General features: G+C 44.5%; 3 protein-coding genes across 10 annotated transcripts in view, besides 22 other annotated features; 2 read left to right on the top strand and 1 right to left on the bottom strand.

Moving 5' to 3' along the window:
* The window catches only part of PEX1 (peroxisomal biogenesis factor 1), a 41,496-nt gene extending 37,343 nt beyond the window's left edge, over window positions 1-4,153 (top strand). For 4 of the 5 annotated variants that reach the window (NM_001282677.2, NM_000466.3, NM_001282678.2 and 1 more), the window contains 3 exons: window positions 1,267-1,464; window positions 1,755-1,885; window positions 3,637-4,153. In NM_001282677.2, the coding sequence (NP_001269606.1) occupies window positions 1,267-1,464; window positions 1,755-1,885; window positions 3,637-3,721 (414 nt within the window). In that variant the 3' untranslated portion in view covers window positions 3,722-4,153. Of the gene's footprint in view, window positions 1-1,266; window positions 1,465-1,754; window positions 1,886-3,636 lie in introns of those variants that run through there. The other variant, XM_047420472.1, reaches the window with a different exon arrangement.
* GATAD1 (GATA zinc finger domain containing 1) overlaps window positions 1-23,760 on the bottom strand; it is a 48,288-nt gene that overhangs the window by 4,592 nt on the left and 19,936 nt on the right. The window lies entirely within an intron of this gene.
* Window positions 10,449-10,470: a protein binding site, noted in NCBI's record as "dGCMA". NCBI's record gives its function as "promotes transcription in BeWo cells" and the evidence as "EXISTENCE:protein binding evidence [ECO:0000024][PMID:12397062]".
* Window positions 10,449-13,909: a biological region, named in NCBI's record as "ERVW-1 upstream regulatory region". NCBI's record gives its function as "regulatory_interactions: ERVW-1".
* Window positions 11,123-11,904: an enhancer, noted in NCBI's record as "H3K27ac hESC enhancer chr7:92108588-92109369 (GRCh37/hg19 assembly coordinates)". NCBI's record gives its function as "activates a minimal SCP1, AML or CMV promoter by ChIP-STARR-seq in primed H9 embryonic stem cells {active_cell/tissue: H9 hESC(primed)}" and the evidence as "EXISTENCE:reporter gene assay evidence [ECO:0000049][PMID:30033119]".
* Window positions 12,548-12,856: a transcriptional cis regulatory region, noted in NCBI's record as "-436 to -129 of URE". NCBI's record gives its function as "positive regulatory region" and the evidence as "EXISTENCE:reporter gene assay evidence [ECO:0000049][PMID:15507602]".
* Window positions 12,548-12,978: an enhancer, noted in NCBI's record as "436 bp upstream regulatory element (URE)". NCBI's record gives its function as "putative tissue specific, placental enhancer" and the evidence as "EXISTENCE:reporter gene assay evidence [ECO:0000049][PMID:15507602]".
* Window positions 12,666-12,693: a protein binding site, noted in NCBI's record as "PPRE-1 probe". NCBI's record gives its function as "promotes transcription" and the evidence as "EXISTENCE:protein binding evidence [ECO:0000024][PMID:22573555]".
* Window positions 12,772-12,786: a protein binding site, noted in NCBI's record as "kB probe". NCBI's record gives its function as "required for cytokine-stimulated activation" and the evidence as "EXISTENCE:protein binding evidence [ECO:0000024][PMID:17258784]".
* Window positions 12,857-12,918: a transcriptional cis regulatory region, noted in NCBI's record as "-128 to -68 of URE". NCBI's record gives its function as "negative regulatory region" and the evidence as "EXISTENCE:reporter gene assay evidence [ECO:0000049][PMID:15507602]".
* Window positions 12,858-12,918: a mobile genetic element, noted in NCBI's record as "long terminal repeat of retrovirus-like MaLR element".
* Window positions 12,868-13,012: an enhancer, noted in NCBI's record as "-294 to -148 fragment". NCBI's record gives its function as "placenta-specific enhancer" and the evidence as "EXISTENCE:reporter gene assay evidence [ECO:0000049][PMID:15888734]".
* Window positions 12,915-12,937: a protein binding site, noted in NCBI's record as "SP1 probe". NCBI's record gives the evidence for it as "EXISTENCE:protein binding evidence [ECO:0000024][PMID:15888734]".
* Window positions 12,919-12,950: an enhancer, noted in NCBI's record as "-67 to -35 of URE". NCBI's record gives its function as "trophoblast-specific enhancer (TSE)" and the evidence as "EXISTENCE:reporter gene assay evidence [ECO:0000049][PMID:15507602]".
* Window positions 12,937-12,957: a protein binding site, noted in NCBI's record as "pGCMA". NCBI's record gives its function as "promotes transcription in BeWo cells" and the evidence as "EXISTENCE:protein binding evidence [ECO:0000024][PMID:12397062]".
* Window positions 12,943-13,303: a promoter, noted in NCBI's record as "LTR fragment -35 to +310". NCBI's record gives the evidence for it as "EXISTENCE:reporter gene assay evidence [ECO:0000049][PMID:14757826, PMID:15507602]".
* Window positions 12,958-12,984: a protein binding site, noted in NCBI's record as "GATA(STN) probe". NCBI's record gives the evidence for it as "EXISTENCE:protein binding evidence [ECO:0000024][PMID:15888734]".
* Window positions 12,986-13,765: a mobile genetic element, noted in NCBI's record as "long terminal repeat of endogenous retrovirus HERV17".
* Window positions 12,990-13,909: an enhancer, noted in NCBI's record as "H3K27ac-H3K4me1 hESC enhancer chr7:92106583-92107502 (GRCh37/hg19 assembly coordinates)". NCBI's record gives its function as "activates a minimal SCP1, AML or CMV promoter by ChIP-STARR-seq in primed H9 embryonic stem cells {active_cell/tissue: H9 hESC(primed)}" and the evidence as "EXISTENCE:reporter gene assay evidence [ECO:0000049][PMID:30033119]".
* Window positions 13,010-13,342: a promoter, noted in NCBI's record as "AvrII/XhoI fragment for -148 promoter". NCBI's record gives its function as "minimal core promoter in trophoblast cells" and the evidence as "EXISTENCE:reporter gene assay evidence [ECO:0000049][PMID:14613893]".
* Window positions 13,078-13,106: a protein binding site, noted in NCBI's record as "PPRE-2 probe". NCBI's record gives its function as "promotes transcription" and the evidence as "EXISTENCE:protein binding evidence [ECO:0000024][PMID:22573555]".
* Window positions 13,092-13,111: a protein binding site, noted in NCBI's record as "CBFwt probe". NCBI's record gives the evidence for it as "EXISTENCE:protein binding evidence [ECO:0000024][PMID:14613893]".
* Window positions 13,114-13,133: a protein binding site, noted in NCBI's record as "Octwt probe". NCBI's record gives the evidence for it as "EXISTENCE:protein binding evidence [ECO:0000024][PMID:14613893]".
* Window positions 13,232-22,798, top strand: ERVW-1 (endogenous retrovirus group W member 1, envelope). Of its 2 annotated transcripts, NM_001130925.2 has the most exons (2): window positions 13,232-13,796; window positions 20,570-22,798. In NM_001130925.2, the coding sequence occupies exon 2, from the start codon at window positions 20,797-20,799 to the stop codon at window positions 22,411-22,413; it is 1,617 nt and encodes a 538-aa protein (NP_001124397.1). In that variant the 5' UTR covers window positions 13,232-13,796; window positions 20,570-20,796; the 3' UTR covers window positions 22,414-22,798. The 2 variants fall into 2 exon arrangements, with proteins under 2 accessions (NP_001124397.1, NP_055405.3); NM_014590.4 differs by lacking the exon at window positions 13,232-13,796 and having other exon boundaries at window positions 19,754-22,798.
* Window positions 14,047-14,548: an enhancer, noted in NCBI's record as "H3K27ac-H3K4me1 hESC enhancer chr7:92105944-92106445 (GRCh37/hg19 assembly coordinates)". NCBI's record gives its function as "activates a minimal SCP1, AML or CMV promoter by ChIP-STARR-seq in naive H9 embryonic stem cells {active_cell/tissue: H9 hESC(naive)}" and the evidence as "EXISTENCE:reporter gene assay evidence [ECO:0000049][PMID:30033119]".

The following is a 23,760-nucleotide window of genomic DNA, read 5'->3' as shown; positions in this document are numbered from 1 at the left end:
TTCTTCCTGGTTGGTTGGTTCTTCAGTAAAATAGTCTTGTTTCTTGCTTACACTAATTGGTAATTTGCATTCCTTGTTAAGATTTTCAAGACAGGGCTGGGAGCAAGGAACCAAAGTAGCGCGTGGTTGTGATTACCTTTGGTTTCTTTGAGGTTTCTCTTACCTAGTGGCTTTAAAACATCTTTAGGAGCAGTTCCATTTTATAGTAAACTTAAATTCTGTTATCATGAACAGTTGAGGATAATGAATAATTTGATACAATAATGTAAGAAATTCCTGAAAACAAAGTGTTATCTGTGATACTTTTGCTGCATAGTAAGCACAATGAAGTGTACTGATAATGTTTCAACAGGAAAGTGTTTTGATTAAATGTGGGCAGTATCACTGTTCTACTAGCATTCAACATCTCTTCTAAAAATTAATAGTGGTTCACTGTAATTTTATTGGTACATGTAACATCTGTACATGTGTTTGGTTATCTATATGTTTCCTGGTTTTTTGTACATTTGCTTTATTAATTTAGGCTTTTTTTTTTTTTTTTTTTTGAGACAGTCTCACTCTATCATCCAGACTAGAGTGCAGTGGCACAATTATGGCTCACTGCAGCCTTGACCTCCTGGGCTTAGGTGATTCTTCCACCTCAGCCTCCTGAGTAGCTGGGACTACAGGCACATGCCACCATGCCCAGCTAATTTTTGTATGTTTTGTAGAGACGAGGTTTCACCATATTGCCCAGGCTGGTCTCAAACTCCTGGGCTCAAGCTATCTGCGTGCCTTGACCTCCCAAAGTGCTAGGATTACAGGTGTGAGCCACTATGCCTAGCCTAACTCAGACTTTAAAAATATAAAAGCAATTCATTTTTATTCCCAAGAACAGTAAGGTGGTGGTTTAATTTTAGTCTTTAATTCTGTTTTTAATTTATTCTATTTAGAAATGTCCCAGAAACTTAGTATAACTTTACTTTCTGAAAATGAAGAAACCTGTCCTTGGGCATTAGTGTGTTGGATTTAAGCAACAAAGTTAAAAAAACCTACCCTGTGTTATGGCAATTTTCACTTGATGGTGGTTCTATAACACAGGTATCAGTGAACCTTTATAAAAGATGAACAACTTTTCAGCTTGCTTAATTTCAGTTAATTAACATGTATACTTATCTATGTTAATGTTTTATTGCTTAAAATGTTTAATTTTTATATTTGGTAAACACATAGTTTTTTCTCTCCCCCTCTTCCTTCCATCTTTCATTACTACAATTTACCATGCAGAGCTCACAATGTCTCTCTGCACCAAGCTCCATGACTCAGGATTTGCCTGGAGTTCCTGGGAAAGACCAGTTGTTTTCACAGCCTCCAGTGTTAAGGACAGCTTCACAAGAGGGTTGCCAAGAACTTACACAAGAACAAAGAGATCAACTGAGGGCAGATATCAGTATTATCAAAGGCAGATACCGGAGCCAAAGTGGAGTATGGCTTTTTCCCCCTCATTATAATTGTTAAAACTTCTTAAAAATTGTTTCACCCTTTTGATATATATTTCTTTGACTTATAAACGAGCTATATTTATAAACAAGGGACCAGAACACATTAACTCAGTCATGGTTATGTGCTTCCTTGCTTTCAATGTTTCATTATCTTATAAGGAAGAGAACGTATGGTCTCTTGAAAAAACTGACAATAAGAAGTAACAACTGGACTACCACATTTTTTTTTACATCCTTAATTTAACTCTTCGTCAATTTCTTTTTTTACTTAAGGAGGACGAATCCATGAACCAACCAGGACCAATCAAAACCAGACTGGCTATTAGTCAGTCACATTTAATGACTGCACTTGGTCACACAAGACCATCCATTAGTGAAGATGACTGGAAGAATTTTGCTGAGCTGTAAGTAACAGATTCTGTTTTGGAAGTACAGCTACTATTACAAGTGACATAGTATTACACTTAAACCTTTAAAGTTCGTGTTTAAAATAAAAATATTTTGAATATTTAAAAGCTAATTCAAAAAATATGTGTCGTAGCTATGCATTAAAAAACCCCAAAATGTCAGAAGTACAGAAGTCAAAATTGAGTTTTCATTAACCAGTTCATTTGATTATATTTGAATTATTCATAATGGACTCATTTAATTTTAGTAACTTTGGGCTGGGTGCTGTGGCTCATGCCTGTAATCCCAGCTCTTTGGGAGGCCAAGGCAGGTGGATCACCTGAGGTCAGGAGTTCGAGGCAAGCCTAACCAACACGGGGAAACCCCATCTCTACTAAAAATACAAAAATTAGCCAGGTGTGGTGGCATGTGCCTGTAGTCCCAGCTACTTGGGAGGCTGAGACAGGAGAATTGCTTGAACCCAGGAGGTGGAGGTTGCAGTGAGCCGAGATTGCACCACTGCACTCCATCCAGCCTGGGCCACAGAGCGAGACTGTGTCTCAAAAAAAAAAAAAAAAAATTTAGTAACTTCGAAGAAATAAGAAGGAAAATTAAAAGTTGAAAGTGATTCTAATGTATAGTTTATAAAATTTTGTTATAAAAATACCTGTTTTGCCTTCAAAATAATTTATATTAATATTTTATTGACCTCAAGAACATTTAAATACATTCAGATTTATTCATTTGTGGACCACATTTGTTATACATTGGATTTAAAGGATCCTTGCAATTGAGTTTATGGCCACCTATGCATCTGAGACCCATGGACTGGGAACCATTCTAGGTCAATGATTCAGTGTGATTCAATTTAAGAGATGTTTATTCCTGGTCTTTAGAAGCTGCTACCTTTTGTTATCTAATTTTGCAGTACTTTGAAGTATGTATGTATGTGTACATACGTTAGTGCTATGTATTTATTAAAGAAGAATCAGAAAACAGAGGTAAGGAAAAATAAGGAAACAAATTTCTGTTAAGCCCACCACCTCCCAAAGCATATTTGTTTATATGCTTATATATGTTTTCCTATTATGGTAAGAACAGTCTGTACATATTGCTATATAGCAGTCCCCCTTTATCCACATACATCCTGAAAATTGTTTTACATTTTAAATGTTAACTACTTTATTGTTTTTAAATGTCATTTTATAGTGTAGCTATGCCACAATATCCAATTTTTAGACATTTAAATTGCTCCCAGGCAATGTGGTAATGAACATTCTTGCAGCTGAATATATGCACATATCTAATTGTTTCACTAGGATAGAGGTGGAATTGTATAACAGGGAGCTCACATTTTTTAAGGCTTTTGAAATGTATTGCCAAATTGCCTGCCAGATATACTGCACCATCACTAACATTGTGTGTTGCAGTATTTTTCTAAACTTGGCCCTTTTGATTTTAGAAAAATGATATCAATAATTTACATTTCTTTGATTAAAGTGTAGAAGTTATAATTTTTCATATTATTCATTGTCATTTGTATTTTATCTTTTCTAACTTGTCTCTTCATCCCCTTTGCTCCGTTTTCTATTGGAGTGCAACTTTATTTGTAAGAATTCTTTTTAATTTCTGTGACTGGAATTTTTTTTTCTAGTTTGTTATTTCCCGTTCATTTCTTAAAATATAATTGTGTTTGCCAACAATCCATTATCTTTTGTTTTGTAATGGTAGTATTTATACATATTAAATTATCTCTTTCTTTTTTCAGATATGAAAGCTTTCAAAATCCAAAGAGGAGAAAAAATCAAAGTGGAACAATGTTTCGACCTGGACAGAAAGTAACTTTAGCATAAAATATACTTCTTTTTGATTTGGTTCTGTTAAGTTTTTTGATGGCTTTTCCATATGTTGTAACAGGAAAAAAATGGTGTCTATGAATTTCTTCTTAATTTAACAAATTTGGTTAATTTATAAAATCACAGATTGGTAAATGCTATAATTATGTAATGATCAGGATTGAGATTAATACTGTAGTATAAATTGGGACATTATAACAGATTCCATATTTTATTTCCTAAAATCTAAATTCAGTCTTTAATGAAATAATATTAGCCAAATGGTGGAACTAATTTATTTCTTTTGAGGAAAAGATAATAAAGAATGTAATTAAATTTAAATTTCTTGGAATTCCCAGTTGTATATTCATCACCTTTGTAGCATTTGACAAATTTTATGCTTAGCAGCTTCTTCACTGTTTTGAAATAAAATATCCTATTACCTACTGATACAATTATCTGTTCTTTGTATATCAAAAAATGTGAAATTTACACATAATTCAAATACATTTAATTATCCGCTCAACCAGAAATGAAATCACATCCCTCTACTATACTACATCCAGCTCCAAGCCCAAGATATTTAAATGACATCCATTCCTCTCCTAGTTCCAGTTATGATTTTATCTTGATATTCTCTCATATATGAACTAAATTATAAAGTTAGCCACCATCAATACAATCTGCGTATCTAATATCTTAACTATATAGTAATGGGGTAAGGGAACAGCAAAAAGGAGAACATTAATTAAAATATACAAGTAAGCCTGGGCAACATAGTGAGACCCCATCTCTTAAAAAAAAAATTAGCCATGCATGATGGTATGCCTCTAGTCCCAGCTACTTGGGAGGCTGAGGTAGGAGGATCACTTGCTCCCAGGAGGTTCAAGGTTCTAAACCAGCAAAGCTCAGAATCCCAGGGGATAGAAACAAAGACTTAGTGGATCACTAGTATTAAACTGAGACACGTCACCCTGCATTGCACTTTGTTTCTCAGTTCTTTGATGAAATCACTGAGCTGACATACCTGCCCTCTTTTCACCATAAAGTGAGTTTCATGATCAGAAGCAATGTCTATGGGATAGCCTAACAAACAATGTAAAAACCATTTAGTAAGTTCATGAAGGGTGGTGGTGGTAAAAATTTGGAGAACATACAAAACAAATACAATTCCAAGGTGTGTCCCCTCCAGGAAGGACAAATTGCTGCCTGCTCTGTGATAGAAGAGGATCAGATGTAATCAACCTGCCGTCAGACTTGGGCTGTTCTCTCCTGGGTGTGGACTTGCCTGGTTGGTCACTGCTGCTGACAAGTAGGCTGTCAATATAGCTGGGTTGTCATGTCAGCTGTGGTGAGGGGGAAGTCCACATTGTGGAGGCCACATCCCTGCACTCTTGGCCAATTTGACCATGAATCTTAAGCACTGGGGTGGCTGGAAAAGACAGCCGATTGACATCCATACAGAGGTCATCTTGACCACTTGATTAGTATAAGCACTGAAGGCTTTTAACTGAGCATTCACATAGGACACAAATATTCTGATTCTTTGGGCCCATTCCAAGAACTCTGGGCATACTTTTCCTCCAGACCTCATACCCAGTTGTGTTCTTTCCAAATTTCTGGTCATCTGGTTATGTTATTAGCCACTATCTGTGAATCAGCATAGATTTTTATATCAGACATCTCTACCTCCTGACAGAATGGAGGAGATATGTTACTTAACAATTCTGTTCCCTTGGAAGATTTCCTGTCTCCACTGTTTGTAAGGGCTACTCCCTCAATGTAGCAGTAATGCTTTCACTCTGATGGGAAGTCACAGTGGAATTCTGGGTCTCCAAGAATTAGTGTTAGTGCATACACAGTGTCTGATAATCCCCAGAGTGTCTGGTGCCCTTGGATCCTGTGAAGAAGGCTTGGAGAAAAGAAGATTCATGGCAAGAACTTGTGATGTGATGACAGGGCCTTTTCTCTGGCTCTTCATTCTTAGTCTGACCTAGGTGTGAGAATTAGGTCAGGGGCCATGACTATATTGTGGTGACTCAAACCAGGCCTTTGTTTACTAACTGGGAGATTTTTACATTGTAAGAATCAAGTAGGATCTTTGCCCATGTATTTTGGTCTTAAGAACACAAATGATATGGCTCCAATGACTGGAGGAACACCAGGGTCCTTGGTCTCACGCTGATTTAGATAAAACGACTGTCAGGCCTCTGAGCCCAAGCTAAGCCATCCTCCCCTGTGACCTGCACGTATACATCCAGATGGCCTGAAGTAACCAAAGAATCACAAAAGCAGTGAAAATGGCCTGTTCCTGCCTTAACTGATGACATTCCACCATTGTGATTTGTTCCTGCCCCATCTTAACTGAGCGATTAACCTTGTGAAATTCCTTCTCCTGGCTCAAAACCTCCCCCACTGAGCACCTTGTGACCCCCGCCCCTGCCCCTAAGAGAAAACCCCCTTTGATTATAATTTTCCACTACCCACCCAAATCCTATAAAATGGCCCCACCCCTATCTCCCTTCGCTGACTCCTTTTTCGGACTCAGCCCGCCTGCACCCAGGTGAAATAAACAGCCTTGTTGCTCACACAAAGCCTGTTTGGTGGACTCTCTTCACACGGACGCTCATGACATTTGGTGCCAAAACCTGGGATAGGAGGACTCCTTCAGGAGACCAGTCCCCTGTCCTTGCCCTCACTCTGTGAGGACATCCACCTACAACCTTGGGTCCTCAGACCAACCAGCCCAAGGAACAGCTCACCAATTTCAAATCAGGTAAGCAGTCTTTTCACTCTCTTCTCCAGCCTCTCTTGCTACCCTTCAAACTCCCTCTCTCACTACCCTTCAATCTCCCTGTCCTTCCAATTCCAGTTCTTTTTCATCTCTAGTAGAGACAAAGGAGACACATTTTATCCATGGACCCAAAACTCCAGCACCAGTCACGGACTTGGGAAGACAGTCTTCCCTTGGTGTTTAATCACTGCGGGGACGCCTGCCTGATTATTCACCCACACTCCATTGGTGTCTGATCACGGTGGGGACACCTGCCTTGGTCACTCACCCACATTCCCTTGGTGGTACGTCAACTGCAAAAGCAGGGGACGCCTGCTTTGGCTGCTCACCCACCCCCTTCTCTGTGTCTCTACCTTTCTCTTTAAACTTACCTCCTTCACTATGGGCAAACTTCTGCCCTCCATTCCCCCTTCTTCTCCCTTAGCCTGTGTTCTTAAAAACCTAAAACCTCTTCAACTCACACCTGACCTAAAACCTAAATGCCTTATTTTCTTCTGCAACACTGCGTGGCTGCAGTACAAACTTGATAATAGCTTTAAATGGCCAGAATATGGCACTTTCAATTTCTCCATCCTACAAGATCTAGATAATTTTTGTGGAAAAATGGAAAAATGGTCTGAGATGCCTGACGTCCAGGCATTCTTTTACACATTGGTCCCTCCCTAGTCTCTGCTCCCAATGCGACTCATCCCAAATCTTTCTTCTTTCTCTCCTGTCTGTTCCTTCAGTCTCCACCCCAAGCTCTGAGTCCTTTGAATCCTCCTTTGCTACAGACCCATCTGAACTCTCCCCTCCTCCCCAGGCTGCTCCTCACCAGGCCGAGCCAGGTCCCAATTCTTCCTCAGCCTCTGCTCCCCCACCCTATAATCCTTTTATCACCTCCTCTCCTCACACTCAGTCCGGCTTACAGTTTCGTTCTGTGACTAGCCCTCCCCCATCTGCCCAACAATTTCCTCTTAAAGAGGTGGCTGGAGCTAAAGGCATAGTCAAGGTTAATGCTCCTTTTTCTTTATCTGACCTCTCCCAAATCAGTTAGCGTTTACGCTCTTTTTCATCAAATATAAAAACCCAGCCAGTTCATGGCCCATCTGGCAACAACCCTTACAGGCTTTACAGCCCTAGACCCTGAAGGGTCAGAAGGCCGTCTTATTCTCAATATGCATTTTATTACCCAATCCGCTCCCAACATTAAATAAAGCTCCAAAAATTAAATTCTGGCCCTCAAACCCCACAACAGGACTTAATTAACCTCACTTCAAGGTGTACAAGAATAGAGTAGAGGCAGCCAAGTAGCAACGTATTTGAGTTGCAATTCCTTGCCTCAACTCTGAGAGAAACCCCAGCCACATCTCCAGCAAACAAGAACTTCAAAACACCTGAACTGCAGCAGCCAGGCGTTCCTCCAGGACCACCTCCCCCAGGATCTTGCTTCAAGTGCCGGAAATCTGACCATTGGGCCAAGGAATGCCTGCAGCCCAGGATTCCTCCTAAGCCACGTCCCATTTGTGCAGGACCCCACTGGAAATCGGACTGTCCAACTCACCCGGCAGCCAATCCCAGAGCCCCTGGAACTCTGGCCCAAGGCTCTCTGACTGACTCCTTCCCAGATCTTCTCGGCTTAGCAGCTGAAGACTGACACTGCCCGATCACTTCAGAAGTCCCCTGGACCATCACGGATACTGAGCTTCAGGTAACTCTCACAGTGGAGGCTAAGTCCATCCCCTGTTTAATCGATACAGGGGCTACCCACTCCACATCACCTTCTTTTCAAGGGCCTGTTTCCCTTTCCCCCATAACTGTTGTGGGTATTGACGGCCAAGCTTCAAAACCCCTTAAAACTCCCCCACTCTGGTGCCAACTTGGACAACATTCTTTTATGCACTCTTTTTCAGTTATCCTCACCTGCCCAGTTCCCTTATTAGGCCGAGACATTTTAACCAAATTATCTGCTTCCCCGACTATTCCTGGGCTACAGCCACATCTCCTTGCCGCCCTTCTTCCCAACCCAAAGCCTCCTTCATATCTTCCTCTCATATCCCCCCACCTTAACCCACAAGTATGGGACACCTCTACTCCCTCCCTGGCAACCGATCACACGCCCATTACTATCCCATTAAAACCTAATCACCCTTACCCTGCTCAATGCCAGTATCCCATACCACAACAGGCTTTAAAGGGATTGAAGCCTGTTATCACTTGCCTGCTACAGCACGGGCTTCTAAAACCTATAAACTCTCCATACAATTCCCCCATTTTACCTGTCTAAAAACCAGATAAGTCTTACAGGTTAGTTCAGAATCTGCACCTTATCAACCAAATTGTTTTGCCTATCCACCCTGTAGCACCCAACTCGTACACTCTTTTGTCCTCAATGCCTTCCCCCACAACTCACTATTCCGTTCTTGATCTTAAAGATGCTTTTTTCACTATTCCCCTGCACCCCTCATCCCAGCCTCTCTTTGCTTTTACCTGGACTGACCCTGACACCCATCAGTCCCAGCAGCTTACCTGGGCTGTACTGCCGCAAGGCTTCAGGGACAGCCCTCATTACTTCAGCCAAGCTCTTTCTCATGATTTACTTTCTTTCCACCTCTCTGCTTCTCACCTTATTCAATATATTGATGACCTTCTACTTTGTAGCCCCTCCTTTAAATCTTCTCAACAAGACACCCTCCTGCTCCTTCAACATTTGTTCTCCAAAGGATATCGGGTATCCCCCTCCAAAGCTCAAATTTCTTCTCCATCTGTTACATACCTCGGCATAATTCTTCATGAAAACACATGTGCTCTCCCTGCCAATTGCGTCTCCAACTGATCTCTCAAATCCCAACCTCTTCTACAAAACAACAACTCCTTTCCCTCCTAGGCATGGTTGGATACTTTTGCCTTTGGATACCTGGTTTTGCCATCCTAACAAAATCATTATATAAACTCACAAAAGGAAACCTAGCTGACCCCATAGATTCTAAATCCTTTCCCCACTCCTCTTTCCATTCCTTGAAGACAGCTTTAGAGACTGCTCCCACACTAGCTCTCCCTGTCTCATCCCAACCCTTTTCATTACACACAGCCGAAGTGCAGGGCTGTGCAGTCGGAATTCTTACACAAGGACCGGGACCATGCCCTGTAGCCTTTTTGTCCAAACAACTTGACCTTACTGTTTTAGGCTCGCCATCATGTCTCCATGCGGTAGCTTCCGCTGCCCTAATACTTTTAGAGGCCCTCAAAATCACAAACTATGCTCAACTCACTCTCTACAGCTCTCACAACTTCCAAAATCTATTTTCTTTCTCACACCTGACGCATATACTTTCTGCTCCCCGGCTCCTTCAGCTGTATTCACTCTTTGTTGAGTCTCCCACAATTACCATTCTTCCTGGCCCAGACTTCAATCTGGCCTCCCACATTATTCTGGATACCACACCTGACCCTGATGATTGTATGTCTCTGATCTACCTGACATTCACCCCATTTCCCCATATTTCCTTCTTTTCTGTTCCTCATGTTGATCACATTTGGTTTACTGACGGCAGTTCCACCAGGCCTGATCGCCACTCACCAGCAAAGGCAGGCTATGCTATAGAATCTTCCACATCCATCATTGAGGCTACTGCTCTGCCCCCCTCCACTACCTCTCAGCAAGCCGAACTGATTGCCTTAACTCGGGCCTTCACTCTTGCAAAGGGACTACACGTCAATATTTATACTGACTCTAAATATGCCTTCCATATCTTGCACCACCATGCTGTTATATGGGCTGAAAGAGGTTTCCTCACTACGCAAGGGTCCTCCATCATTAATGCCTCTTTAATAAAAACTCTTCTCAAGGCTGCTTTACTTCCAAAGGAAGCTGGAGTCACACACTGCAAGGGCCACCAAAAGGCGTCAGATCCCATTACTCTAGGAAATGCTTATGCTGATAAGGTAGCTAAAGAAGCACCTAGCGTTCCAACTTCTGTCCCTCATGGCCAGTTTTTCTCCTTCCCATCAGTCATTCCCACCTACTCCCCCATTGAAACTTCCGCCTATCAATCTCTTCTCACACAAGGCAAATGGTTCTTAGACCAAGGAAAATATCTCCTTCCAGCCTCACAGGCCCATTCTATTCTGTCATCATTTCATAACCTCTTCCATGTAGGTTACAAGCCACTAGTCCACCTCTTAGAACCTCTCATTTCCTTCCATCGTGGAAACATATCCTCAAGGAAATCACTTCTCAGTGTTCCATCTGCTATTCTACTACCCCTCAGGGATTGTTCAGGCCCCCTCCCCTCCCTACACATCAAGCTCGGGGATTTGCCCCTGCCCAGGACTGGCAAATTGACTTTACTCACATGCCCTGAGTCAGGAAACTAAAATACCTCTTGGTCTGGGTAGACACTGTCACTGGATGGGTAGAGGCCTTTCCCACAGGGTCTGAGAAGGCCACTGCAGTCATTTCTTCCCTTCTGTCAGACATAATTCCTTGGGTTGGCCTTCCCACCTCTATACAGTCCAATAACGGAGCAGCCTTTATTAGTCAAATCACCTGAGCAGTTTTTCAGGCTCTTGGTATTCAGTGGAACCTTCGTACCCCTTACTGTCCTCAATCTTCAGGAAAGGTAGAATGGACTAATGGTCTTTTAAAAACACACCCCACCAAACTCAGCCTCCAACTTAAAAAGGAGGATAGAGCCCAAAAACTCGCAACCAAGCTAGTAATTATGCTGAACCCCCTTGGGCACTCTCTAATTGGATGTCTTAGGTCCTCCCAAATCTTAGTCCTTTAATATCTGTTTTTCTCCTTCTCTTATTCGGACCTTGTGTCTTCCGTTTAGTTTTTCAATTCATACAAAACCGCATCCAGGCCATCACCAATCGTTCTATACAATAAATGCTCCTTCTAACAACCCCACAATATCGCCCCTTACCACAAAATCTTCCTTCAGCTTAATCTCTCCCACTCTAGGTTCCCATGCCGCCCATAATCCCTCTCGAAGCAGCCCTGAGAAACATAGCCCATTATCTCTCCATACCACCCCCAAAATTTTTGCTGCCCCAACACTTCAACACTATTTTACATTATTTTTCTTATTAATATAAGAAGACAGCAATGTCAGGCCTCTGAGCCCAAGCCATCATATCCCCTGTGACCTGCACATATACATCCAGATGGCCTGAAGTAACTGAAGAATCACAAAAGAAGTGAAAATGGCCTGTTCCTGCCTTAACCGATGACATTCCACCACTGTGATTTGTTCCTGCCCCACCTTAACTGAGCAATTAACCTTGGGAAATTCCTTCTCCTGGCTCAAAACCTCCCCCACTGAGCACCTTGTGACCCCTGCCCCTCCACTACCCACCCAAATCCTATAAAATGGCCCCACCCCATCTCCCTTAGCTGACTCCTTTTTTGGACTCAGCCCGCCTGCACCCAGGTGAAATAAACAGCCTTGTTGCTCACACAAAGCCTGTTTGGTGGACTCTCTTCACAGGGACGGGGGTGACAACAACACGGACACACATGGAGTGGTTTTAAGGAGCAGAGAGTTTAATACGCAAAAAAGAAGGAAGAGGCTCCCCTGTACAGACACAGAGGGAGGGGGCTCCAAGCCGAGAGAAGGAAACCCCATGTGCAGTGGAAAAGTGGTTGATTATACTGGGAGGCTGGAGGAGGCGGTGTCTGATTTGCACAGGGCCCAGGGGATTGGGTTGACCAGGTGTATCATTCATGTACCCCGCAAAAAACCTGGCCCTCCCACCTCAGCCCTTTAATATGCAAATGTGGGTTGCCATGATGTTCTGAAAACACATGAATTATCTGGAGGGGGCCATGACACTTGGTACATGTGCTGACAAGAAGAGGGTGGGAATCGCCATGGTGGCCATGTTGGGTGGACCTAGTTTTTAATAGCCTGCATTTGCATATCAAAGTTTGCTGGCCTGGCTCTTTAAGCTGTCTTTTCTGTTAGAAAAGGAATGGTTTGGAATGGGTGAGGGTTGCTTCTTATTACAAGAAAATTTCCAAAAACCTTTACTCTTTCTAGCTGCCAAAAAACTATTTCTTAATAACTTATGTATTACCATAATTAGGCAGCACCAAAGATCCCTGCAGGTCAGACCACTGCAATTAACATGCTGGCTTTACTGCTGATTATGGTAGCTGCATCCACCTAGCCTCTCATATTGCAACTGCCTGACCTCTGCCACCCCACGAGCCACTTATCCCCACTTATAATCAGCCCATTTCGATTGTAACATCTGCCACTTATTCCCGACGTTGTGGTATATCCTATAGATGAATTCATTCAACATCCATTCCAACACCACCTCTCTTGCCTTCCTATACTCTCTGGAGAGTGAATTACTGAGTCACATGATCTTCACTGCAGTCATTTGTGGCTATGTGACATAGTTCTGGACAGTGAACATAGACAGAAGTCCCTGGGGCGGGCTTCCTTTCTGGGATGAGGGCAAAACGCCTGGAGATACAGCAATTATCTTGCAACTGAGAGACAGGACTAGCTGGATTTCCTAGGCCGACTAAGAATCCCTAAGCCTAGCTGGGAAGGTGACCACGTCCACCTTTAAACACGGGGCTTGCAACTTAGCTCACACCTGACCAATCAGAGAGCTCACTAAAATGCTAATTAGGCAAAGACAGGAGGTAAAGAAATAGCCAATCATCTATTGCCTGAGAGCACAGCAGGAGGGACAACAATCGGGATATAAACCCAGGCATTCGAGCTGGCAACAGCAGCCCCCCTTTGGGTCCCTTCCCTTTGTATGGGAGCTGTTTTCATGCTATTTCACTCTATTAAATCTTGCAACTGCACTCTTCTGGTCCATGTTTCTTACGGCTCGAGCTGAGCTTTTGCTCACCGTCCACCACTGCTGTTTGCCACCACCGCAGACCTGCCGCTGACTCCCATCCCTCTGGATCCTGCAGGGTGTCCGCTGTGCTCCTGATCCAGCGAGGCGCCCATTGCCGCTCCCAATTGGGCTAAAGGCTTGCCATTGTTCCTGCACGGCTAAGTGCCTGGGTTTGTTCTAATTGAGCTGAACACTAGTCACTGGGTTCCATGGTTCTCTTCTGTGACCCACGGCTTCTAATAGAACTATAACACTTACCACATGGCCCAAGATTCCATTCCTTGGAATCCGTGAGGCCAAGAACTCCAGGTCAGAGAATACGAGGCTTGCCACCATCTTGGAAGCGGCCTGCTACCATCTTGGAAGTGGTTCACCACCATCTTGGGAGCTCTGTGAGCAAGGACCCCCCGGTAACATTTTGGCAACCACGAACGGACATCCAAAGTGGTGAGTAATATTGGACCACTTTCACTTGCTATTCTGTCCTATCCTTCCTTAGAATTGGAGGAAAATACCGGGCACTTGTCGGCCAGTTAAAAACGATTAGTGTGGCCACCGGACTTAAGACTCAGGTGTGAGGCTATCTGGGGAAGGGCTTTCTAACAACCCCCAACCCTTCTGGGTTGGGGACTTGGTTTGCCTCAAGCCAGCTTCCACTTTCAGTTTTCTTGGGGAAGCCGAGGGCCGACTAGAGGCAGAAAGCTGTCGTCCTGAACTCCCGGCAGTAGCCGGTTGAGATCATGGTGTAGCCAGAAGTCTCAACAGTCGCCCATGCATGCACCCCTATCTTTCCTTCTGACCCATACCTCCTGGGTCCCAACCACAACTTTCTTCAAAGTGTAGCCCCAAAATTCTCCTTACCTCTGAATATACTTCCTCTGATCCCTGCCTCCTAGGTACTATTGGTTCAGACTTCCATTTCCTCTAGCAAGTTGTATCTCCAAAGGGATCTAAGGAAGCTCTGCGCTGCGTCCTTAGGCACCTAGGCTATAACCCAGGGAGTCTTATCCCTGGTGTCCCTCCCAATTTAGGCATACAGCTCTTGACATGGGCAGTTATGTAGGACCCACTCCCCACCACCCTTGCCAGGGCCCCAAGTTTGTAAATGGCTGAGGGAAAAGAGAGACAGAGGAGAGAGAGAGAAATGGAGGAGAAAGAGAGAGAGACAGAGAGGAGAGAGAGACAGTGAGAGAGACAGAAGAGAGAGAGAGACAAAGAGGAGAGAGAGAGAGTCAAAGAGAGAAAGAAAGAGAAAGAAATAGTAAAAAACAGTGTGCCCTATTCCTTTAAAAGCCAGGGTAAATTTAAAACCTGTACTTGATAATTGAAGGTCTTCTCTGTGACCCTATAGCACTCCAATCCACTTTGTGGTCAGTGTAAATAAGAGCATAGGCCGAAAGCACTGAGGCCATTGACAACCCGTAGCTTCCCTATCAAAAATCCTTAACCCAGTAACCCGCAGATGGACCAAATGCATTCAGTCGGTAGCGCAACTGCTTTGCTAAAAGTAGAAAAGTAACTTTTAGAGGAAACCTCATTGTGAGCACACCTCACCTGTTCAGAATTATTCTAATAAAAAAAGCAAAAAGGTAGCTTACTAACTCAAAAATCTTAAAGTATGGGGCTATTCTGTTAGAAAAAGGTAATGTAACTCCAACCACTGATAATTCCCTTAACCCAGCAGATTTCCTAACGGGATTTAAATCTTAATTACCATACAAAGGTCCGACCAGACCTAGGCGGAACTCCCTTCAGGACAGGACGATAGATGGTTCCTCCCAGGTGATTGAGGAAAAAAACCACAATGGGTATTCAGTAATTGATACGGGGACTCTTGTGGAAGCAGAGTTAGAAAAATTGCCTAATAACTGGTCTCCTCAAACGTGTGAGCTGTTTGCACTCAGCCAAGCCTTAAAGTACTTACAGAATCAAAAGACTATCTCAATCCTGATTCAAAAGGTTAGCTACACCCTCTCTGTAATGCATTTGCATAAGAACTTGTTTATGGGAATGCATCTTGATGGGGCAGCTGGGTTGTTATAAAATAGGAACCCAGCCCAGCTCTAGGACTCACCCCTGAGCGCAAAGGCAATGTTGGGCATGCTGGTAAAGGACCACTAGAATCCAGCAGCCCAGACCCCTTTCTTTGTGGTCAAGAAAGGCGGGAAAAGGGGTGCAGGACTGCTACATCGGTAAGCATAACTAATCCGATAAACAGAGGTCCATGGGTGGTTACGCACCCTGGAAAGGAACTCACCCCTGAGCACAAAGGCAATGTTGGGCACGCTGGTAAAGGACCACTAGAATCCAGCAGCCTGGACCCCTTTCTTTGTGGTCAAGAGAGGCAGGAAAACAGGTGCAGGACTGCAACATCAGTGAGCATAACTAATTCGATAAGCAGAGGTCCATGGGTGGTGATGCACCCTGGAAAGAATAAGCATTAGGACCATAGAGGACACTCCAGGACTAAAGCTCATCGGAAAATGACTAGGGTTGCTGGCATCCCTATGTTCTTTTTTCAGATGGGAAACGTTCCCCGCAAGACAAAAACGCCCCTAAGACGTATTCTGGAGAATTGGGACCAATTTGACCCTCAGACACTAAGAAAGAAACGACTTATATTCTTCTGCAGTGCCGCCTGGCACTCCTGAGGGAAGTATAAATTATAACACCATCTTACAGCTAGACCTCTTTTGTAGAAAAGGCAAATGGAGTGAAGTGCCATAAGTACAAACTTTCTTTTCATTAAGAGACAACTCACAATTATGTAAAAAGTGTGATTTATGCCCTACAGGAAGCCTTCAGAGTCTACCTCCCTATCCCAGCATCCCCGACTCCTTCCCCAACTAATAAGGACCCCCCTTCAACCCAAATGGTCCAAAAGGAGATAGACAAAAGGGTAAACAGTGAACCAAAGAGTGCCAATATTCCCCAATTATGACCCCTCCAAGCAGTGGGAGGAAGAGAATTCGGCCCAGCCAGAGTGCATGTGCCTTTTTCTCTCCCAGACTTAAAGCAAATAAAAACAGACTTAGGTAAATTCTCAGATAACCCTGATGGCTATATTGATGTTTTACAAGGGTTAGGACAATTCTTTGATCTGACATGGAGAGATATAATGTCACTGCTAAATCAGACACTAACCCCAAATGAGAGAAGTGCCACCATAACTGCAGCCTGAGAGTTTGGCGATCTCTGGTATCTCAGTCAGGTCAATGATAGGATGACAACAGAGGAAAGAGAATGATTCCCCACAGGCCAGCAGGCAGTTCCCAGTCTAGACCCTCATTGGGACACAGAATCAGAACATGGAGATTGGTGCTGCAGACATTTGCTAACTTGTGTGCTAGAAGGACTAAGGAAAACTAGGAAGAAGTCTATGAATTACTCAATGATGTCCACCATAACACAGGGAAGGGAAGAAAATCCTACTGCCTTTCTGGAGAGACTAAGGGAGGCATTGAGGAAGCGTGCCTCTCTGTCACCTGACTCTTCTGAAGGCCAACTAATCTTAAAGCGTAAGTTTATCACTCAGTCAGCTGCAGACATTAGAAAAAAACTTCAAAAGTCTGCCGTAGGCCCGGAGCAAAACTTAGAAACCCTATTGAACTTGGCAACCTCGGTTTTTTATAATAGAGATCAGGAGGAGCAGGCGGAACAGGACAAACGGGATTAAAAAAAAGGCCACCGCTTTAGTCATGACCCTCAGGCAAGTGGACTTTGGAGGCTCTGGAAAAGGGAAAAGCTGGGCAAATTGAATGCCTAATAGGGCTTGCTTCCAGTGCGGTCTACAAGGACACTTTAAAAAAGATTGTCCAAGTAGAAGTAAGCCGCCCCCTCGTCCATGCCCCTTATTTCAAGGGAATCACTGGAAGGCCCACTGCCCCAGGGGACAAAGGTCCTCTGAGTCAGAAGCCACTAACCAGATGATCCAGCAGCAGGACTGAGGGTGCCTGGGGCAAGCGCCATCCCATGCCATCACCCTCACAGAGCCCTGGGTATGCTTGACCATTGAGGGCCAGGAGGTTGTCTCCTGGACACTGGTGCGGTCTTCTTAGTCTTACTCTTCTGTCCCGGACAACTGTCCTCCAGATCTGTCACTATCTGAGGGGGTCCTAAGACGGGCAGTCACTAGATACTTCTCCCAGCCACTAAGTTATGACTGGGGAGCTTTATTCTTTTCACATGCTTTTCTAATTATGCTTGAAAGCCCCACTACCTTGTTAGGGAGAGACATTCTAGCAAAAGCAGGGGCCATTATACACCTGAACATAGGAGAAGGAACACCCGTTTGTTGTCCCCTGCTTGAGGAAGGAATTAATCCTGAAGTCTGGGCAACAGAAGGACAATATGGACGAGCAAAGAATGCCCGTCCTGTTCAAGTTAAACTAAAGGATTCCACCTCCTTTCCCTACCAAAGGCAGTACCCCCTCAGACCCAAGGCCCAACAAGGACTCCAAAAGATTGTTAAGGACCTAAAAGCCCAAGGCCTAGTAAAACCATGCAGTAACCCCTGCAGTACTCCAATTTTAGGAGTACAGAAACCCAACAGACAGTGGAGGTTAGTGCAAGATCTCAGGATTATCAATGAGGCTGTTGTTCCTCTATAGCCAGCTGTACCTAGCCCTTATACTCTGCTTTCCCAAATACCAGAGGAAGCAGAGTGGTTTACAGTCCTGGACCTTCAGGATGCCTTCTTCTGCATCCCTGTACATCCTGACTCTCAATTCTTGTTTGCCTTTGAAGATACTTCAAACCCAACATCTCAACTCACCTGGACTATTTTACCCCAAGGGTTCAGGGATAGTCCCCATCTATTTGGCCAGGCATTAGCCCAAGACTTGAGCCAATCCTCATACCTGGACACTTGTCCTTCGGTAGGTGGATGATTTACTTTTGGCCGCCCATTCAGAAACCTTGTGCCATCAAGCCACCCAAGCGCTCTTCAATTTCCTCGCTACCTGTGGCTACATGGTTTCCAAACCAAAGGCTCAACTCTGCTCACAGCAGGTTACTTAGGGCTAAAATTATCCAAAGGCACCAGGGCCCTCAGTGAGGAACACATCCAGCCTATACTGGCTTATCCTCATCCCAAAACCCTAAAGCAACTAAGGGGATTCCTTGGCGTAATAGGTTTCTGCCGAAAATGGATTCCCAGGTATGGCGAAATAGCCAGGTCATTAAATACACTAATTAAGGAAACTCAGAAAGCCAATACCCATTTAGTAAGATGGACAACTGAAGTAGAAGTGGCTTTCCAGGCCCTAACCCAAGCCCCAGTGTTAAGTTTGCCAACAGGGCAAGACTTTTCTTCATATGTCACAGAAAAAACAGGAATAGCTCTAGGAGTCCTTACACAGATCCGAGGGATGAGCTTGCAACCTGTGGCATACCTGACTAAGGAAATTGATGTAGTGGCAAAGGGTTGACCTCATTGTTTACGGGTAGTGGTGGCAGTAGCAGTCTTAGTATCTGAAGCAGTTAAAATAATACAGGGAAGAGATCTTACTGTGTGGACATCTCATGATGTGAATGGCATACTCACTGCTAAAGGAGACTTGTGGCTGTCAGACAACTGTTTACTTAAATGTCAGGCTCTATTACTTGAAGGGCCAGTGCTGCGACTGTGCACTTGTGCAACTCTTAACCCAGCCACATTTCTTCCAGACAATGAAGAAAAGATAAAACATAACTGTCAACAAGTAATTTCTCAAACCTATGCCACTCGAGGGGACCTTTTAGAGGTTCCTTTGACTGATCCCGACCTCAACTTGTATACTGATGGAAGTTCCTTTGTAGAAAAAGGACTTCGAAAAGTGGGGTATGCAGTGGTCAGTGATAATGGAATACTTGAAAGTAATCCCCTCACTCCAGGAACTAGTGCTCAGCTAGCAGAACTAATAGCCCTCACTTGGGCACTAGAATTAGGAGAAGAAAAAAGGGCAAATATATATACAGACTCTAAATATGCTTACCTAGTCCTCCATGCCCATGCAGCAATATGGAAAGAAAGGGAATTCCTAACTTCTGAGAGAACACCTATCAAACATCAGGAAGCCATTAGGAAATTATTATTGGCTGTACAGAAACCTAAAGAGGTGGCAGTCTTACACTGCCGGGGTCATCAGAAAGGAAAGGAAAGGGAAATAGAAGAGAACTGCCAAGCAGATATTGAAGCCAAAAGAGCTGCAAGGCAGGACCCTCCATTAGAAATGCTTATAAAACAACCCCTAGTATAGGGTAATCCCCTCCGGGAAACCAAGCCCCAGTACTCAGCAGGAGAAACAGAATGGGGAACCTCACGAGGACAGTTTTCTCCCCTCGGGACGGCTAGCCACTGAAGAAGGGAAAATACTTTTGCCTGCAACTATCCAATGGAAATTACTTAAAACCCTTCATCAAACCTTTCACTTAGGCATCGATAGCACCCATCAGATGGCCAAATCATTATTTACTGGACCAGGCCTTTTCAAAACTATCAAGCAGATAGTCAGGGCCTGTGAAGTGTGCCAGAGAAATAATCCCCTGCCTTATCGCCAAGCTCCTTCAGGAGAACAAAGAACAGGCCATTACCCTGGAGAAGACTGGCAACTGATTTTACCCACAAGCCCAAACCTCAGGGATTTCAGTATCTACTAGTCTGGGTAGATACTTTCACGGGTTGGGCAGAGGCCTTCCCCTGTAGGACAGAAAAGGCCCAAGAGGTAATAAAGGCACTAGTTCATGAAATAATTCCCAGATTCGGACTTCCCCGAGGCTTACAGAGTGACAATAGCCCTGCTTTCCAGGCCACAGTAACCCAGGGAGTATCCCAGGCGTTAGGTATACGATATCACTTACACTGCGCCTGAAGGCCACAGTCCTCAGGGAAGGTCGAGAAAATGAATGAAACACTCAAAGGACATCTAAAAAAGCAAACCCAGGAAACCCACCTCACATGGCCTGCTCTGTTGCCTATAGCCTTAAAAAGAATCTGCAACTTTCCCCAAAAAGCAGGACTTAGCCCATACGAAATGCTGTATGGAAGGCCCTTCATAACCAATGACCTTGTGCTTGACCCAAGACAGCCAACTTAGTTGCAGACATCACCTCCTTAGCCAAATATCAACAAGTTCTTAAAACATTACAAGGAACCTATCCCTGAGAAGAGGGAAAAGAACTATTCCACCCTTGTGACATGGTATTAGTCAAGTCCCTTCCCTCTAATTCCCCATCCCTAGATACATCCTGGGAAGGACCCTACCCAGTCATTTTATCTACCCCAACTGCGGTTAAAGTGGCTGGAGTGGAGTCTTGGATACATCACACTTGAGTCAAATCCTGGATACTGCCAAAGGAACCTGAAAATCCAGGAGACAACGCTAGCTATTCCTGTGAACCTCTAGAGGATTTGCGCCTGCTCTTCAAACAACAACCAGGAGGAAAGTAACTAAAATCATAAATCCCCATGGCCCTCCCTTATCATATTTTTCTCTTTACTGTTCTTTTACCCTCTTTCACTCTCACTGCACCCCCTCCATGCCGCTGTATGACCAGTAGCTCCCCTTACCAAGAGTTTCTATGGAGAATGCAGCGTCCCGGAAATATTGATGCCCCATCGTATAGGAGTCTTTCTAAGGGAACCCCCACCTTCACTGCCCACACCCATATGCCCCGCAACTGCTATCACTCTGCCACTCTTTGCATGCATGCAAATACTCATTATTGGACAGGAAAAATGATTAATCCTAGTTGTCCTGGAGGACTTGGAGTCACTGTCTGTTGGACTTACTTCACCCAAACTGGTATGTCTGATGGGGGTGGAGTTCAAGATCAGGCAAGAGAAAAACATGTAAAAGAAGTAATCTCCCAACTCACCCGGGTACATGGCACCTCTAGCCCCTACAAAGGACTAGATCTCTCAAAACTACATGAAACCCTCCGTACCCATACTCGCCTGGTAAGCCTATTTAATACCACCCTCACTGGGCTCCATGAGGTCTCGGCCCAAAACCCTACTAACTGTTGGATATGCCTCCCCCTGAACTTCAGGCCATATGTTTCAATCCCTGTACCTGAACAATGGAACAACTTCAGCACAGAAATAAACACCACTTCCGTTTTAGTAGGACCTCTTGTTTCCAATCTGGAAATAACCCATACCTCAAACCTCACCTGTGTAAAATTTAGCAATACTACATACACAACCAACTCCCAATGCATCAGGTGGGTAACTCCTCCCACACAAATAGTCTGCCTACCCTCAGGAATATTTTTTGTCTGTGGTACCTCAGCCTATCGTTGTTTGAATGGCTCTTCAGAATCTATGTGCTTCCTCTCATTCTTAGTGCCCCCTATGACCATCTACACTGAACAAGATTTATACAGTTATGTCATATCTAAGCCCCGCAACAAAAGAGTACCCATTCTTCCTTTTGTTATAGGAGCAGGAGTGCTAGGTGCACTAGGTACTGGCATTGGCGGTATCACAACCTCTACTCAGTTCTACTACAAACTATCTCAAGAACTAAATGGGGACATGGAACGGGTCGCCGACTCCCTGGTCACCTTGCAAGATCAACTTAACTCCCTAGCAGCAGTAGTCCTTCAAAATCGAAGAGCTTTAGACTTGCTAACCGCTGAAAGAGGGGGAACCTGTTTATTTTTAGGGGAAGAATGCTGTTATTATGTTAATCAATCCGGAATCGTCACTGAGAAAGTTAAAGAAATTCGAGATCGAATACAACGTAGAGCAGAGGAGCTTCGAAACACTGGACCCTGGGGCCTCCTCAGCCAATGGATGCCCTGGATTCTCCCCTTCTTAGGACCTCTAGCAGCTATAATATTGCTACTCCTCTTTGGACCCTGTATCTTTAACCTCCTTGTTAACTTTGTCTCTTCCAGAATCGAAGCTGTAAAACTACAAATGGAGCCCAAGATGCAGTCCAAGACTAAGATCTACCGCAGACCCCTGGACCGGCCTGCTAGCCCACGATCTGATGTTAATGACATCAAAGGCACCCCTCCTGAGGAAATCTCAGCTGCACAACCTCTACTACGCCCCAATTCAGCAGGAAGCAGTTAGAGCGGTCGTCGGCCAACCTCCCCAACAGCACTTAGGTTTTCCTGTTGAGATGGGGGACTGAGAGACAGGACTAGCTGGATTTCCTAGGCTGACTAAGAATCCCTAAGCCTAGCTGGGAAGGTGACCACATCCACCTTTAAACACGGGGCTTGCAACTTAGCTCACACCTGACCAATCAGAGAGCTCACTAAAATGCTAATTAGGCAAAGACAGGAGGTAAAGAAATAGCCAATCATCTATTGCCTGAGAGCACAGCAGGAGGGACAATGATCGGGATATAAACCCAAGTCTTCGAGCCGGCAACGGCAACCCCCTTTGGGTCCCCTCCCTTTGTATGGGAGCTCTGTTTTCATGCTATTTCACTCTATTAAATCTTGCAACTGCACTCTTCTGGTCCATGTTTCTTACGGCTTGAGCTGAGCTTTCGCTCGCCATCCACCACTGCTGTTTGCCGCCACCGCAGACCCGCCGCTGACTCCCATCCCTCTGGATCATGCAGGGTGTCCGCTGTGCTCCTGATCCAGCGAGGCACCCATTGCCGCTCCCAATCGGGCTAAAGGCTTGCCATTGTTCCTGCATGGCTAAGTGCCTGGGTTCATCCTAATTGAGCTGAACACTAGTCACTGGGTTCCATGGTTCTCTTCTGTGACCCACAGCTTCTAATAGAGCTATAACACTCACCGCATGGCCCAAGGTTCCATTCCTTGAATCCATAAGGCCAAGAACCCCAGGTCAGAGAACACGAGGCTTGCCACCATCTTGGGAGCTCTGTGAGCAAGGACCCCCAAGTAACACAACCATGAGGGTGCAAATGCATGGGCCACTAATGGTAGAGCAAGAAAACAGAAGGGCCCTGGTTCCTCGAAGGCATCAGTGAGCTGAAATGCCTGCCCTGGATGTCCTATTCCTAGGTGTTTTTCTGCCTGAAGCAGATTAAACCCTTTGTTCACTTCTCCAAGTAGGGCTTCTATTACAGCCCAAATCAATCCCCACCCCAGATGACATCATCCTATTAATACTTTTCAAAGTCTTCCTGTCCTTAAACTTCCAGCTTCCCCAAAACCCCACAGAAGATCAGCAGTCTGCTCTCCTAAGGGAGCCTGGGCCTGACTGGCATAGCTCTCCCTTACAATAGTAAGCAATTAATTCAGCTTTGCGACTTGATCAGTCCAAAGTGGCTGCCAGTTTGAAAATCTCAGAAAGGTACCATATGTACTAAGAGAAGCCCTGACATGAGGGCCTAAGCCAAAAGTTGGCCCACATCCTTCCTCTTCCAAATTTAGGATGGGCACTGTAAAGATAAATATGAATTTAATAAGTTTAATTCCACCTGTTGAAAATGAGGCA

Source organism: Homo sapiens, chromosome 7 (assembly GCF_000001405.40).
Source record: "Homo sapiens chromosome 7, GRCh38.p14 Primary Assembly".
Classification (NCBI taxonomy): Eukaryota; Metazoa; Chordata; class Mammalia; order Primates; family Hominidae; genus Homo; species Homo sapiens.
Note: the sequence above shows the minus strand (reverse complement) of the source record. Positions and strands in the feature narration are given on the sequence as shown.

Coding starts and splice junctions, on each gene's coding strand:
- ERVW-1 (NM_001130925.2), top strand. CDS start 20,797: ATGGCCCTCCCTTATCATATTTTTCTCTTTACTGTTCTTTTACCCTCT.